The sequence below is a fragment of the Homo sapiens genome, chromosome 12, assembly GCF_000001405.40.
Source record: "Homo sapiens chromosome 12, GRCh38.p14 Primary Assembly".
Taxonomy (NCBI): domain Eukaryota; kingdom Metazoa; phylum Chordata; class Mammalia; order Primates; family Hominidae; genus Homo; species Homo sapiens.
Genome location: NC_000012.12, coordinates 31542206 through 31556320, shown reverse-complemented (window position 1 = coordinate 31556320; position 14115 = coordinate 31542206). Strand labels below are relative to the sequence as shown.

The following is a 14115-nucleotide window of genomic DNA, read 5'->3' as shown; positions in this document are numbered from 1 at the left end:
CTGAGACAGAACTGTTTGAACCCAGGAGGCGGAGGTTGCAGTGAGCCGAGGTCATGCTGCTCCACTCCAGTCTGGGTGACAGAGTGAGACTGCATCTTAAAAAAAGAAAAAAAAGGGGGGAGGAGCCAAGATGGCCAAATAGGAACAGCTCCAGTCTACAGCTCCCATTGTGAGCAACGCAGAAGACGGGTGATTTCTGTATTTCCAACTGAGGTACCGGGTTCATCTCACTGGGGAGTGCCAGACAGTAGGTGCAGGACAGTGGGTGCAGCGCACCACGCGCAAGCCGAAGCAGGGCGAGGCATCACCTCACCCGGGAAGCGCAAGGGGTCAGGGAATTCCCTTTCCTAGTCAAAGAAAGCAGTGACAGAGGGCACCTGGAAAATCGGCTCACTCCCACCCTAATATTGTGCTTTTCCAACGGGCTTAAAAAATGGCACACCAGGAGATTATATCCCGCACCTGGCTCGGAGGGTCCTACTCCCAGGGAGTCTCGCTCATTGCTAGCATAGCAGTCCGAGATCAAACTGCAAGGTGGCAGTGAGGCTGGGGGAGGGGCACCTGTCATTGCCAAGTTAGTTGTTTGATTAGGTAAACAAAGCGGCCAGGAAGCTCGAACTGGGTGGAGCCCACCACAGCTCAAGGAGGCCTGCCTGCATCTGTAGGCGCCACCTCTGGGGGCAGGGCACAGACAAAAAGACAGCAGTAACCTCTACAGACTTAAATGTCCCTCTCTGACAGCTTTGAAGAGAGTAGTGGTTCTCCCAGCATGCAGCTTGAGATCTGAGAACGGGCAGACTGCCTCCTCAAGTGGGTCCCTGACCCCCGAGTAGCCTAACTGGGAGGCACCCCCCAGTAGGGGTGGACTGACACCTCACACGGCCAGGTACTCCTCTGAGACAAAACTTCCAGAAGAACGATCAGGCAGCAGCATCTGCGGTTCACCAATATCCGCTGTTCTGCAGCCACTGCTGCTGATACCCAGGCAAACAGGGTCTGGAGTGGACCTCCAGCAAACTCCAACAGACCTGCAGCTGAGGGTCCTGTCTGTAAGAAGGAAAACTAGCAAACAGAAAGGACATCCACACCAAAAACCCATCTGTACGTCACCATCATCAAAGTCCAAAGGTAGATAAAACCACAAAGATGGGAAAAAAACAGCAGAAAAACTGGAAACTCTAAAAATCAGAGTGCCTCTCCTCCTCCAAAGGAACGCAGCTCCTCACCAGCAACGGAACAAAGCTGGACAAAGAATGACTGACGAGTTGAGAGAAGAAGGCTTCAGATGATCAAACTACTCTGAGCTACAGGAGGAAGTTCAAACCAATGGCAAAGAAGTTAAAAGCTTTGAAAAAAAATTAGATGAATGGATAACTAGAATAACCAATGCAGAGAAGTCCTTAAAGGACCTGATGGAGCTGAAAACCAAGGCACGAGAGCTACGTGACGAATGCAGAAGCCTCAGTAGCCAATGTGATCAACTGGCAGAAAGGGTATCAGTGATGGAAGACGAAATGAATGAAGTGAAGCGAGAAGAGAAGTTTAGAGCAAAAAGAATAAAAAGAAGTGAACAAAGCCTCCAAGAAATATGGGACTATGTGAAAAGACCAAATCTACATCTGATTGGTGTACCTGAAAGTGACGGGGAGAATGGAACCAAGTTGGAAAACACTCTGCAGGATATAGGAAAACTTCCCCAATCTAGCAAGGCAGGCCAACATTCAAATTCAGGAAATACAGAGGACGCGACAAAGATACTCCTCGAGAGAGCAACTCCAAGACACATAATTGTCAGATTCACCAAAGTTGAAATGAAGGAAAAAATGTTAAGGGCAGCCAGAGAGAAAGGTCGGGTTACCCACAAAGGGAAGCCCATCAGACTAACAGCAGATCTCTTGGCAGAAATTCTACAAGCCAGAAGAGAGTGGGGGCCAATATTCAACATTCTTAAAGAAAAGAATTTTCAACCCAGAATATCATATCCAGCCAAACTAAGCTTCATAAGTGAAGGAGAAATAAAATACTTTACAGACAAGTAAATGCTGAGAGATTTTGTCACCACCAGGCCTGCCCTAAAAGAGCTCCTGAAGGAAGCACTAAACATGGAAAGGAACAACCGGTACCAGCCACTGCAAAAACATGCCAAATTGTAAAGACCATCAAGGCTAGGAAGAAACTGCATCAACTAACAAGCAAAATAACCATCTAACATCATAATGACAGGATCAAATTCACACATAACAATATTAACTTTAAATGTAAATGGGCTAAATGCTCCAATTAAAAGACACAGACTGGCAAATTGGATAAAGAGTCAAGACCCATCAGTGTGCTGTATTCAGGAAACCCATCTCACGTGCAGAGACATACATAGGCTCAAAATAAAGGGATGGAGGAAGATCTACCAAGCAAATGGAAAACAAAAAAAGGCAGGGGTTGCAATCCTAGTCTCTGATAAAACAAACTTTAAACCAACAAAGATCAAAAGAGACAAAGAAGGCCATTACATAATGGTAAAGGGATCAATTCAACAAGAAGAGTTAACTATCCTAAATATATATGCACCCAATACAGGAGCACCCAGATTCATAAAGCAAGTCCTTAGTGACCTACAAAGTGACTTAGACTCCCACACAATAATAATGGGAGACTTTAACACCCCACTGTCAACATTAGACAGATCAATGACACAGAAAGTTAACAAGGATACCCAGGAATTGAACTCAGCTCTGCACCAAGTGGACCTAATAGACATCTACAGAACTCTCCACCCCAAATCAACAGAATATACATTCTTTGCAGCACCACACCACACCTACTCCAAAATTGACTACATAGTTGGAAGTAAAGCACTCCTCAACAAATGTAAAAGAACAGAAATTATAACAAACTGTCTCTCAGACCACAGTGCAATCAAACTAGGACTCAGGATTAAGAGACTCACTCAAAAACACTCAACTACATGGAAACTGAACAACCTGCTCCTGAATGACTACTGGGTAAATAATGAAATGAAGGCAGAAATAAAGATGTTCCTTGAAACCAAGGAGAACAAAGACACAACATACCAGAATCTCTGGGACACATTCAAAGCAGTGTGTACAGGGAAATTTATAGCACTAAATGTCCACAAGAGAAAGCAGGAAAGATCTAAAATTGACACCCTAACATCACAATTAAAAGAACTAGAAAAGCAAGAGCAAACACATTCAAAAGCTAGCAGAAGGCAAGAAATAACTAAGATCAGAGCAGAACTGGAGGAAATAGAGACCAAAAAAACCCTTCAAAAAATTAATGAATCCAGGACCTGGTTTTTTGAAAAGATCAACAAAATTGACAGACCGCTAGCAAGACTAGTAAAGAAGAAAAGAAGAATCAAATAGGCGCAATAAAAAATGATAAAGGGGATATCACCACCGATCCCACAGAAATACAAACTACCATCAGAGATACTATAAACACCTCTACGCAAATAAACTAGAAAATCTAGAAGAAACGGATAAATTCCTTGACACATACATCCTCCCAAGACTAAACCAGGAAGAAGTTGAATCTCTGAATAGACCAATAACAGGCTCTGAAATTGAGGCAATAATCAATAGCTTACTAACCAAAAAAAGTCCAGGACCAGATGGATTCACAGCCAAATTCTACCAGAGGTAGGTACAAGGAGGAGCTGGTACCATTCCTTCTGAAACTATTCCAATCAGTAGAAAAAGAGGGTATCCTCCCTAACTCTTTTTATGAGGCCAGCATCATCCTGATACCAAAGCCTGGCAGAGACACAACCAAAAAAAGAGAATTTTAGACCAATATCCTTGATGAACATCGATGCAAAAATCCTCAATAAAATACTGGCAAACCAAATCCAGCAGCACGTCAAAAAGCTTATCCACTATGATCAAGTGGGCTTCATCCCTGGGATGCAAGGCTGGTTCAACATACACAAATCAATAAATGTAATCCAACATAAACAGAACCAAAGACAAAAACCACATGATTATCTCAATAGATGCAGAAAAGGCCTTTGACAAAATTCAGCAGCCCTTCATGCCAAAAACTCTCTATAAATTAGGTGTTGATGGGACGTATCTCAAAATAATAAGAGCTATCTATGACAACCCACAGCCAATATCATACTGAATGGGCAAAAACTGGAAGCATTCCCTTTGAAAACAGGCACAAGACAGGGATGCCCTCTCTCACGACTCCTATTCAACATAGTGTTGGAAGTTCTGGCCAGGGCAATCAGGCAGGAGAAGGAAATAAAGGGTATTCAATTAGGAAAAGAGGAAGTCAAATTGTCCCTGTTTGCAGACAACATGATTGTCTATCTAGAAAACCCCATCGTCTCAGCCCAAAATCTCCTTAAGCTGATAAGCAACTTCAGCAAAGTCTCAGGATACAAAATCGATGTGCAAAAATCACAAGCATTCTTTTACACCAATAACAGACAAACAGAAAGCCAAATCATGAGTGAACTCCCATTCACAATTGCTTCAAAGAGAATAAAATACCTAGGAATCCAACTTACAAGGGATGTGAAGGGCCTCTTCAAGGAGAACTACAAACCACTGCTCAATGAAATAAAAGAAGATACAAACAAATGGAAGAACATTCCATGCTCATGGGTAGGAAGAATCAATATCGTGAAAATGGCCATACTGCCCAAGGTAATTTATAGATTCAATGCCATCCCCATCAAGCAACCAATGACTTTCTTCACAGAATTGGAAAAAACTACTTTAAAGTTTATATGGAACCAGAAAAAGAGCCTGCATCGCCGAGTCAATCCTAAGCCAAAAGAACAAAGCTGGAGGCATCACGCTACCTGACTTCAAACTATACTACAAGGCTACAGTAACCAAAGCAGCATGGTACGGGTACCAAAACAGAGATATAGATCAATGGAACAGAGCAGAGCCCTCAGAAATAATGCCGCATATCTACAACTATCTGATCTTTGACAAACCTGAGAAAAACAAGCAATGGGGAAAGGATTCCCTATTTAATAAATGGTGCTGGGAAAACTGGCTAGCCATATGTGGAAAGCTGAAACTGGATCCCTTCCTTACACCTTTTACAAAAATTAATTCAAGATGGATTAAAGACTTAAATGTTAGACCTAAAACCATAAAAACCCTAGAAGAAAACCTAGGCAATACCATTCAGGACATAGGCATGGGCAAGGACTTCATGTCTAAAACACCAAAAGCAATGGCAACAAAAGCCAAAATTGACAAATGGGATCTAATGAAACTAAAGAGCTTCTGTACAGCAAAAGAAACTACCATCAGAGTGAACAGGCAACCTACAAAATGGGAGAAAATTTTTGCAACCTACTCATCTGACAAAGGGCTAATATCCAGAATCTACAATGAACTCAAACAAATTTACAAGAAAAAAACAACCCCATCAACAAGTGGGCGAAGGATATGAACAGACACTTCTCAAAAGAAGACATTTATGCAGCCAAAAAAACACATGAAAAAATGCTCATCATCACTGGCCATCAGAGAAATGCAAATCAAAACCGCAATGAGATACCATCTCACACCAGTTGGAATGGCGATCATTAAAAAGTCAGGAAACAACAGGTGCTGGAGAGGATGTGGAGAAATAGGAACACTTTTACACTGTTCTTGGGACTGTAAACTAGTTCAACCATTGTGGAAGTCAGTGTGGCAATTCCTCAGGGATCTAGAACTAGAAATACCATTTGACCCAGACATCCCATTACTGGCTATATACCCAAAGGATTATAAATCATGCTGCTATAAAGACACATGCACACGTATGTTTATAGTGGCACTATTCACAATAGCAAAGACTTGGAACCAACCTAAATGTCCAAGAACGATAGACTGTATTAAGAAAATGTGGCACATATACACCATGGAATACTATGCAGCCATAAAAAATGATGAGTTCATGTCCTTTGTAGGGACATGGATGAAACTGGAAACCATCGTTCTCAGCAAACTATTGCAAGGACCAAAAACCAAACACCACATGTTCTCACTCATAGGTGGGAATTGAACAATGAGAACACATGGACACAGGAAGGGGAACATCACACACTGGGGACTGTTGTGGGGTGGGGGGAGGGGGGAGGGATAGCATTAGGAGATATACCTAATGCTAAATGATGAGTTAATGGGTGCAGCACACCAGCATGGCACATGTATACATATGTAAGAAACTTGCACATTGTGCACATGTACCCTAAAACTTAAAGTATAATAATAATAAAATTTAAAAAAAAAAGAAAAAAAGAATGGCCTTTTATGATTCCTCAGAGATCTAGAACCAGAAATACCATTTGACCCAACAATCCCATTACTGGGTATATACCCAAAGGAATATAAATCATCCTGTTACAAAGATGCATGCATGCGTATGTTCATTGAAGCACTATCTGCAGTAGCAAAGACGTGGAATCAACCCAAATGCCCATCAATGATAGACTGGGACCTGGGAGCCATTATCCTCAGCAAACTAACACAGGAGCAGAAAACCAAACACTGCATATTCTCACTTACAAATGGGAGGTGAATAGTGAGAACACATGGACACAGGGAGGGGAACAACACACACTGGGGTCTGTTGGAGGTTGGGATGGGGGAAGAGAGCATTAGGAAAAATATATTTAGTGCATACTGGGCTTAATACCTAGGTGATGGGTTGATAGGTGCAGCAAACCACCATGGCACACATTTACCTGTGTAACAAACCTGCATATCCTGCACCTGTACCCTGGAACTTAAAATAAAAATAAAAATTAAAAAAAATAGTCACATTAAAAAAAAAGAATGGCCTTTTATGGAAACCCATAGGACCCAAGAAAGTAATAATTTTCTAAAGAATAGAAAATTAGAGCCATATAGATAGCGTAATTAAAATAATAATATTTGTTTCAGAATAATTTTAAAAATTGTAACCTTAAGTTTTATGCACATTTTTTAAAAAATCAGGATTCCTTTTCTTAGAATTAAGGAAAAAGTCAGTGCCGTTTTACGATAACAAGAAGACTTGGTTATCATTGCTGATAGGGGCAGATGCTACATTTTATCTCTCATTTCTAAACTTTCTTACTAAAGTCAGAATTTAAAAATGAACTTGGCCAGGCATGGTGGCTCATGCCTGTAATCCCAGCACTTCGGGAGGTCCACTCGGAAGGATCACCTGAAGCCAGGAATTCAGAAACAGCGTGTACAACAAAGCGAGACTTCGTGTCTCTAAAAAAATTTTTAAAGAATTAGCCAGGTATAGTGGCAGGTGCCTGTACCCCGAGCTACCCAGGAGGCTAAGGCAGGAGGATCACTTGAGCTCAGGGGTTCAAGGCTGCTGTGAGCTATGATCGTACCACTGCACCCCAGCCTGGGTTGACAAAGCAAGACCCAGTCTCTAAAGGAAAAAAAACCCTTGGCTTTCAGTAGTACTCTGTTTATTGATGTTATGCCAAAAGGAACCAGTTTTCAGCTGTACCCAATAATATATTCTCTGCATATGGGGACTGTAGTTCTGACCTTAGAAAAATACATAGCCATTAATTAATTAAATTGGTCTCCTTGAAAGCACACTTGTTGAAAGGTCTGTCCTTTTACCCAAAGGAGGAAGAGGTTTGATTAATTTACAGATTCTGCTCTGGTGTATAACACAACATTTGAGAAAATGTCAGGTTCTCATGAGTTGAAAATTATACAGGAAATTTATTTATTTATTGTTGTTTGACAAAACGAGTATGATCTAAACATTTATTTGTTTATTGAACTAGGTTCAGGAGTCCAAGAGGTCTTGTGATGTAGTCAAGTTTTTAAAGTGGCAGTATGTCTTGCCAGGAAAAGAACCTGGTCTTAGATACTGTGGGTTCTGCTTCTGGTGAGAGAGTCGCTTAAATTCTTTTTTTTTTCTTCTTCTTTTTTTTTTGTTTTTTGAGACAGATGTTGCCTAAGCTGCTGTGCAGTAGAGCGATCACAGCTCACGGCAGCCTTGACCTCCTGGGCTCAGGTGATCCTATACCTCAGCTTTCCGAATAGCTGGGGCTATAGGTATATGCCACCATGTCTGGCTAATTTTTAAAACTTTTTTTGTAGAGGTGGGGTTTCACTTTGTTGCCCAGGCTGGTCTTGAACTTCTGCGCTCAAGTGATCCTCCTGCCTCGGCCTCCCAAAGCACTGGGATTACAAATGTGTCCCACTGTGCCTGGCTGGATTCTAATGTGAACTATATTAGATGTTAAGTTTAATATTTTAATATTTTTAATATCTTACGTTTTAAGCGAAAGAAGACAAATGCCTTTAAAACTTTTTAGAGGCTGGGTGCGGTGGCTCACACCTTCAGTCCCAGCACTTTGGGAAGCCGAGGTTGGTGGATCACCTGAGGTCAGGAGTTTGAGACCAGCCTGGCCAACATGGTGAAACCCTGCCTCTACTAAAAATACAAAAAAGTAACCAGGCTTGGTGGCAGGTGCCTGTAATCCCAGCTACTTGGGAGGCTGAGGCAGGAGAATTGCTTGAACCCGGTGGTAGAGGTTGCAGTGAACCAAGATCGCACCATTGCACTCCAGCCTGGGCAACCAGAGCAAAACTCCGTCTCAAAAAACAAAACAAACTTTTTAGTTTGAGGCCGGGTGCAGTGGTTTACGCCTGTAATCCCAGCATTTTGGGAGGTGGGGCGAGTGGATCACGAGGTCAGAATTTCAAGACCAGCCTGACCAATATGATGAAACCCCATCTCTACTAAAAATACAAAAATTAGCCAGCTTGGTGGCATGTGTCTGTAGTTCCAGCTACTCAGGAGGCTGAGGCAGGAGAATCGCTTGAACCCAGGAGGCAGAGGTTGCAGTGAGCCAAGATTGTGCCACTGCACTCCAGCCTGGGTGACCGAGACTCTGTCTCAAAAACAAAACAAAAAACTTTTTAGTTTGCTAGCCGGAAATTTTCATCTAATCATGTCTAAGATTTCTTTTAAAATACTTCAATGCCTGCTCCCTGTCTTAAAAAGTTGGGAGGGGAGTAGATAAAACAAGAATAGTAAACTATTGATAATTATTGAAGCTGGGTAGTGAGTACATGGGAGTTCATTATACTTTTCCCTTTTTCTCTGGCCTTAGATATATGTTTAACAATGTGTATGTAAAAAAAAGAAAAGTAACACAACAATAAGTGCAAATCTGCTGAGATTGCACACAGGCACAGGTTCCTCAGTGTTAACTTGTCTGATAGGAAGCAACATGGCAGTGACCTCAGAGAAACTCTAGAGGAAAAAAGCGTAATGGCTAATGAAGCATATTTGCTGGAAAGAGAGAAAAACTCAGAACTGTCATTCCCCATGTGTGACTCTTTGTTTCTGTTAAACATAGCAGATATGTCTGTGCCAATTAAACTTGAATGTTAGTATGATATTTTTAGAAATTCATGTTGCGGACTGTAAACTCAAAATAAATTTTGGTTGCGGTTGTCGAATGTATCAAACAAATATTACCATATTTTTATAGAACAAGGAAACTTAGTATACAGAAAGTACACTTCCAACAAATGTTTTTCACTCCTCCCTGGGTCTTTTAGATGTGGGGTTATAATGTTGCTTTTAAATGCAGAATAATTTTATACTCTTGGAAATAAAAATTTTTTGAGATGGAGTCTCGCTCTGTCTCCCAGGCTGGAGTGCAGTGGCGTGATCTCGGCTCACTACAACATCTGCCTCCTGGTTCAAGCGATTCTCCTGCCTCAGCCTCCTGAGGAGCTGGGATTACAGGCGCGTACCACCATGCCTGGCTAATTTTTGTATTTTTAGTAGAGATGTGGTTTCACCATGTTGGTCAGGCTGGTCTCGAACTCCTGACCTCAAGTGATCCACTCACCTTAGCCTTCCAGAGTGCTGGGATTACAGGTGTGAGCCACCGCACCTGGCCAAAATAAAAACTTTATTCCCACTAAATATGTATTACTCAGGGAGGAGTTGAAAAGAAATATAATGGAGAAAGAATTTAAGAGAGCTTTGTTTTGGTAAAGATTTGGGGAAATGTTCAGAAAATGGTTATAGAACGACACCGTGCTTAATAAATAACATTTTGAAATGGGAAAAACAAATATGCTGTAACATAAAGCCAACTTACCTAGATTTGTTATTATATGGGTCATATATATAGCATATATATATAGTTTCTAATTTGAGAAAGAATTTTTAAAATCACAGAAAATGCCTGGTTATTAAAACTAGAAAGCAAAGAAAAAATAACTTGAAAGTACAAACACTAGCCATACAGTGTTAATATTTCACTGTATTTCCTTTCCATTTTTAAAGCTTTTGTGTAGATTTTCTTGTTACCTTACATATTCCCCCACTTTTTTTTTTTTTTTTTTTTTGAGACAGTGTCTTACTCTCTCACCCATACTGGAGTGCAGTGTTGTGATCCTGACTCACTGCAACCTCTATCTCGAGTGATCCTCCCACCTCAGCCTCTTGAGTAGCTGGAACTACAGGCATGTACTACCATACCTGGCTAATGTTTGTTTTATTTTGTTTTGTAGACATGGGTTTCACTGTGTTGCCCAGGCTGGTGTCAAACTCTTGGGCTCAAGCCATCCACCTGGCTTAGCCTCCCAAAGTGCTGGGATTACAGGTGTGAGCCACCGCGCCTGGCCCATATATCCTTTTATCCTGATTTTTCACTAAACATTTGAAATATGTACTTTTCATTATTATATATCCTTTTCATTACTACATACATTTTAGAGGCTGTATAATATTACATTCTGGGTATGCCTTAATTTGCTTAACATTCTTTTGTCATTTATAATTTTTCACTGTTAAAACCATGCTGTCAAATACCACATGTTCACATTTGTAAGTGGAAGCTAAACATTGGGTACTCATAGACATAAAGATGGCAACAACAGAAACTGGGGACTATTAGATGGAGGAGAAAGGAAGGAGGGGAATGGTTGAAAAACGGGTATTATATTCAATACTTGGGTGACGTGGGAACATTTGTACCCCAAACCTCAGCATTATACAATATACCCAAATAGCAAACCTGCACCTGTACCCCCTGTATCTAAAATAAAAGTTGGAAAAAGAAATAAAAATAGATAAATAGGAAAGGAAATGAAAAAACATGCTGCTAACATCATCTTTTTGTACGTGAATTTTTTAGTTTTTTTGGATTCTTTTTCACAGGATAAAATCCCAAGGATGTAGGCTCTGGCTCTGATAAGGACTTTTTAGTTTATTATGAATGGACTGAGAAGCTTCTGTGTGTCTGTGGTGGGGGCGATTGTCTAAAAACTGATTCCCCTTCCCTTTGTTTTTATGCTTTTGATTTTTTCAAGAAACTAGGTTATTTTCCCTGTAGAATGTCCCATATTTTGGATTCTTTGTTTATTGTCTATTTCTTGGTGGTTAACTTGTTGCTCTATCTCCTGGATTTCTTAAGAACTTTCCTCTAAAGTCTTAATTAGATTCAGGTTCAACATTCTTTGGGGGAAAGAATAAATATTTTATTAGTGGTTTTATATAGTTCATAGTGCATCCTATCAGGAGGGCATAATGTCTGATTGTCTCAAGCTGTAGATATTTTCATTAGTTTATTCTTGCCTTTCCACTTTTGGTGGTGTTCCTTTTGATGCACAGGAGATTTAAATTTTTTTTGTAGTTGAATTAATATTTTCCTTTTTATTTCATTGTAATTTCAGTTTCACTCTATTCATATTCATAGATTTGATAGTTATTGGCTGGGCATGGTGGTTCACACTTCTAATCCCAACACTTTGGGAGACTGAGGTGGGAGGATCACTTGAGCCCAGGACCTCGAGACCAGCCTGGGCAATACAGGGAGACCCCGTCTCTACAAATAAAATAATAAAAATTAGCTGGATGTGGAGGCACATGCCAGCAATTCCATCTGCTTGGAAGGCTGAGGCAGGAGGATTGCTTGAGCCCTGGAGGTTGAGGCTACAGTGAGCTGTGCTTGTGCCACTGCACTGCAGCATGGGTGACAGAGTGAAACCCTGTCTCAAAAATAAAAATTAAAATTAAAAATGTGACATTGATAATATCTTCTAAAATATTTTTATGAATTAACTTTTAAAATGTATTTTAATGTGTATTAAAGTTACTTATTACATATTTAATTAATTCATTCATTAATTTTGAGATGGAGTCTCACTCTGTTGCCCAGGCTGGAGTGCAGTGGTACAATCTCAGCTCACTGCAACTTCTGCCTCTCAGGTTCAAGCGATTCTTGTGCCTCAGCCTCCTGAATAGCTGGGAATACAGGCTTGTGCCACCATGCCTGACTAGTTTTTGTATTTTTAGTAGAGACAGGTTTTCACCATGTTGGCCAGGCTGGTCTCAAACTCCTGACCTCAAGTGATCTGGCTGGCCTCCCAAAGTGCTGGAATTACAGGCGTGAGCCATTGTGCCGGCCATATTTAGTAAATTTAAATCACTTTTTATATGTTGTTTGTATCTTATGGATAGAGAGTAGATAGAGATGTGATATACTTGGAATTTATTTTGCTGTAGGGTAAGGATCTGAGTAGATTATTTTTCAAAAACCAGCCACATGTTCCAGTCTGTGTTTATTGAATAAACATTCCCTTTCTGTTTTCTAATTTTCCTTTTATTACATGCTAAGTAATTACATATACTAGTGTCTGTGGGCTTTCTCTTTTTTTCCTAGCAACTTGTTTGTATGCTGCTATACTTTTGATGATTGTCATAACGTTATAAGAGAATTTCTAATAGGACTAACCTTTTTCTAATTTCTCACCTTTTTTCAAAATGGTAGCACAGTATGTTTGATCTTAAACTTCCGTAACAGCCTAGTGGGTTTTTTTCCAGATAAAATTTTATAAGTCACTTACCTTATAAAAACTTTGAAAAGGTATCTATGCTGACAAGCAAGGAGCATAAATTACTTTTATAAAAAGTCAGATCTTAGTAGCAGGTACTGTCAAAGAAGCAAGCTAATGACTTGGAGTGTAAGGAGTGATACCACACACATCATCTTACTCCTAACATTTTCTGTTACAAAACATATGGAAACTCTACGTAGCAGTTTTGCATCTTTATGAACCATTTGGTATGAAATCTCTCTTGTTTTTTGAGACAAAGTCTCACTTTGTCACCAAAGCTGGAGTGCAGTGGCCCGGTCAACGCTCACTGTAGCCTCAACCTCCTGGAGTCAAGGGATCCTCCTGCCTTAGCCTACTGAGCCTCCCAGGTAGTTGGGACTACAGGCATGGGCTACCATGCCTGGCTAGTTTTTGTATTTTTTGTAGAGATTTAAGTGTTGTCTACCAAAAAAACCTTTTTTGTCTCACTACAACATTTTTTTCAGTACCATTTACTTATTTGAGACAGGGTCTGGCTCTGTCGCCCAGGCTGGAGTAATGGTGGCACAGTCTTGGCTCCCTGCAACTTCCACCTCCCAGGCTCAAGCCACCCTCCACCTCAGCTTCCTGAGTTGCTGGGACTGCAGTTGCATGCCACCACACTGAGGTAATTTTTATATTTTTTCATAGAGATGGGGTTTTGCTATGTTGCTCATGCTGGTCTCAAACTCCTGGGCTCAAAGAATCCACCCGTTTTGGCCTCCCAAAGTGTTGGGATTACAGGCATGAGCCACCGTGCCCTACCCATTTTTAAAAAATTTTAATTTTTGTGGATACATAGCAGATGTATATATTTATGGGTTACATGAGATATTTTTATACATGCATTCAATGCATAATAATCCCATCATGGAAGATGAGGTATCCATCCCCTCAAGCATTTATCATTTGTGTTACAAACAATCCAGTTATACTCTTAATTATTTTAAAATGTACAATTACATTATTTTTTTCCTATAGTCACCCTGTTGTGCTAGCAAATACTAGGTCTTATTCATTCTGTTTTTTTGTGCCCATTAACCATTCCCACTTTCCCCCATCCTACCTTCTACCCTTCTCAGCCTCTGGTAACTATCCTTCTACTTTCTATGTTCATGAGTTCAATTGTTTTAATTTTTTTTTTTTTTTTTTGAGACGGAGTCTCGCTCTGTTGCCCAGGCTGGAGTGCAGTGGTGCGATCTCGGCTCACTGCAACCTCCACCTCCCAGGTTCA

The 14115-nt window shown here is 40.6% G+C and overlaps 1 protein-coding gene across 17 annotated transcripts in view; it reads left to right on the top strand.

The window, feature by feature from the left end:
* DENND5B (DENN domain containing 5B) overlaps nt 1-14115 on the top strand; it is a 208911-nt gene that overhangs the window by 34816 nt on the left and 159980 nt on the right. The window lies entirely within an intron of this gene.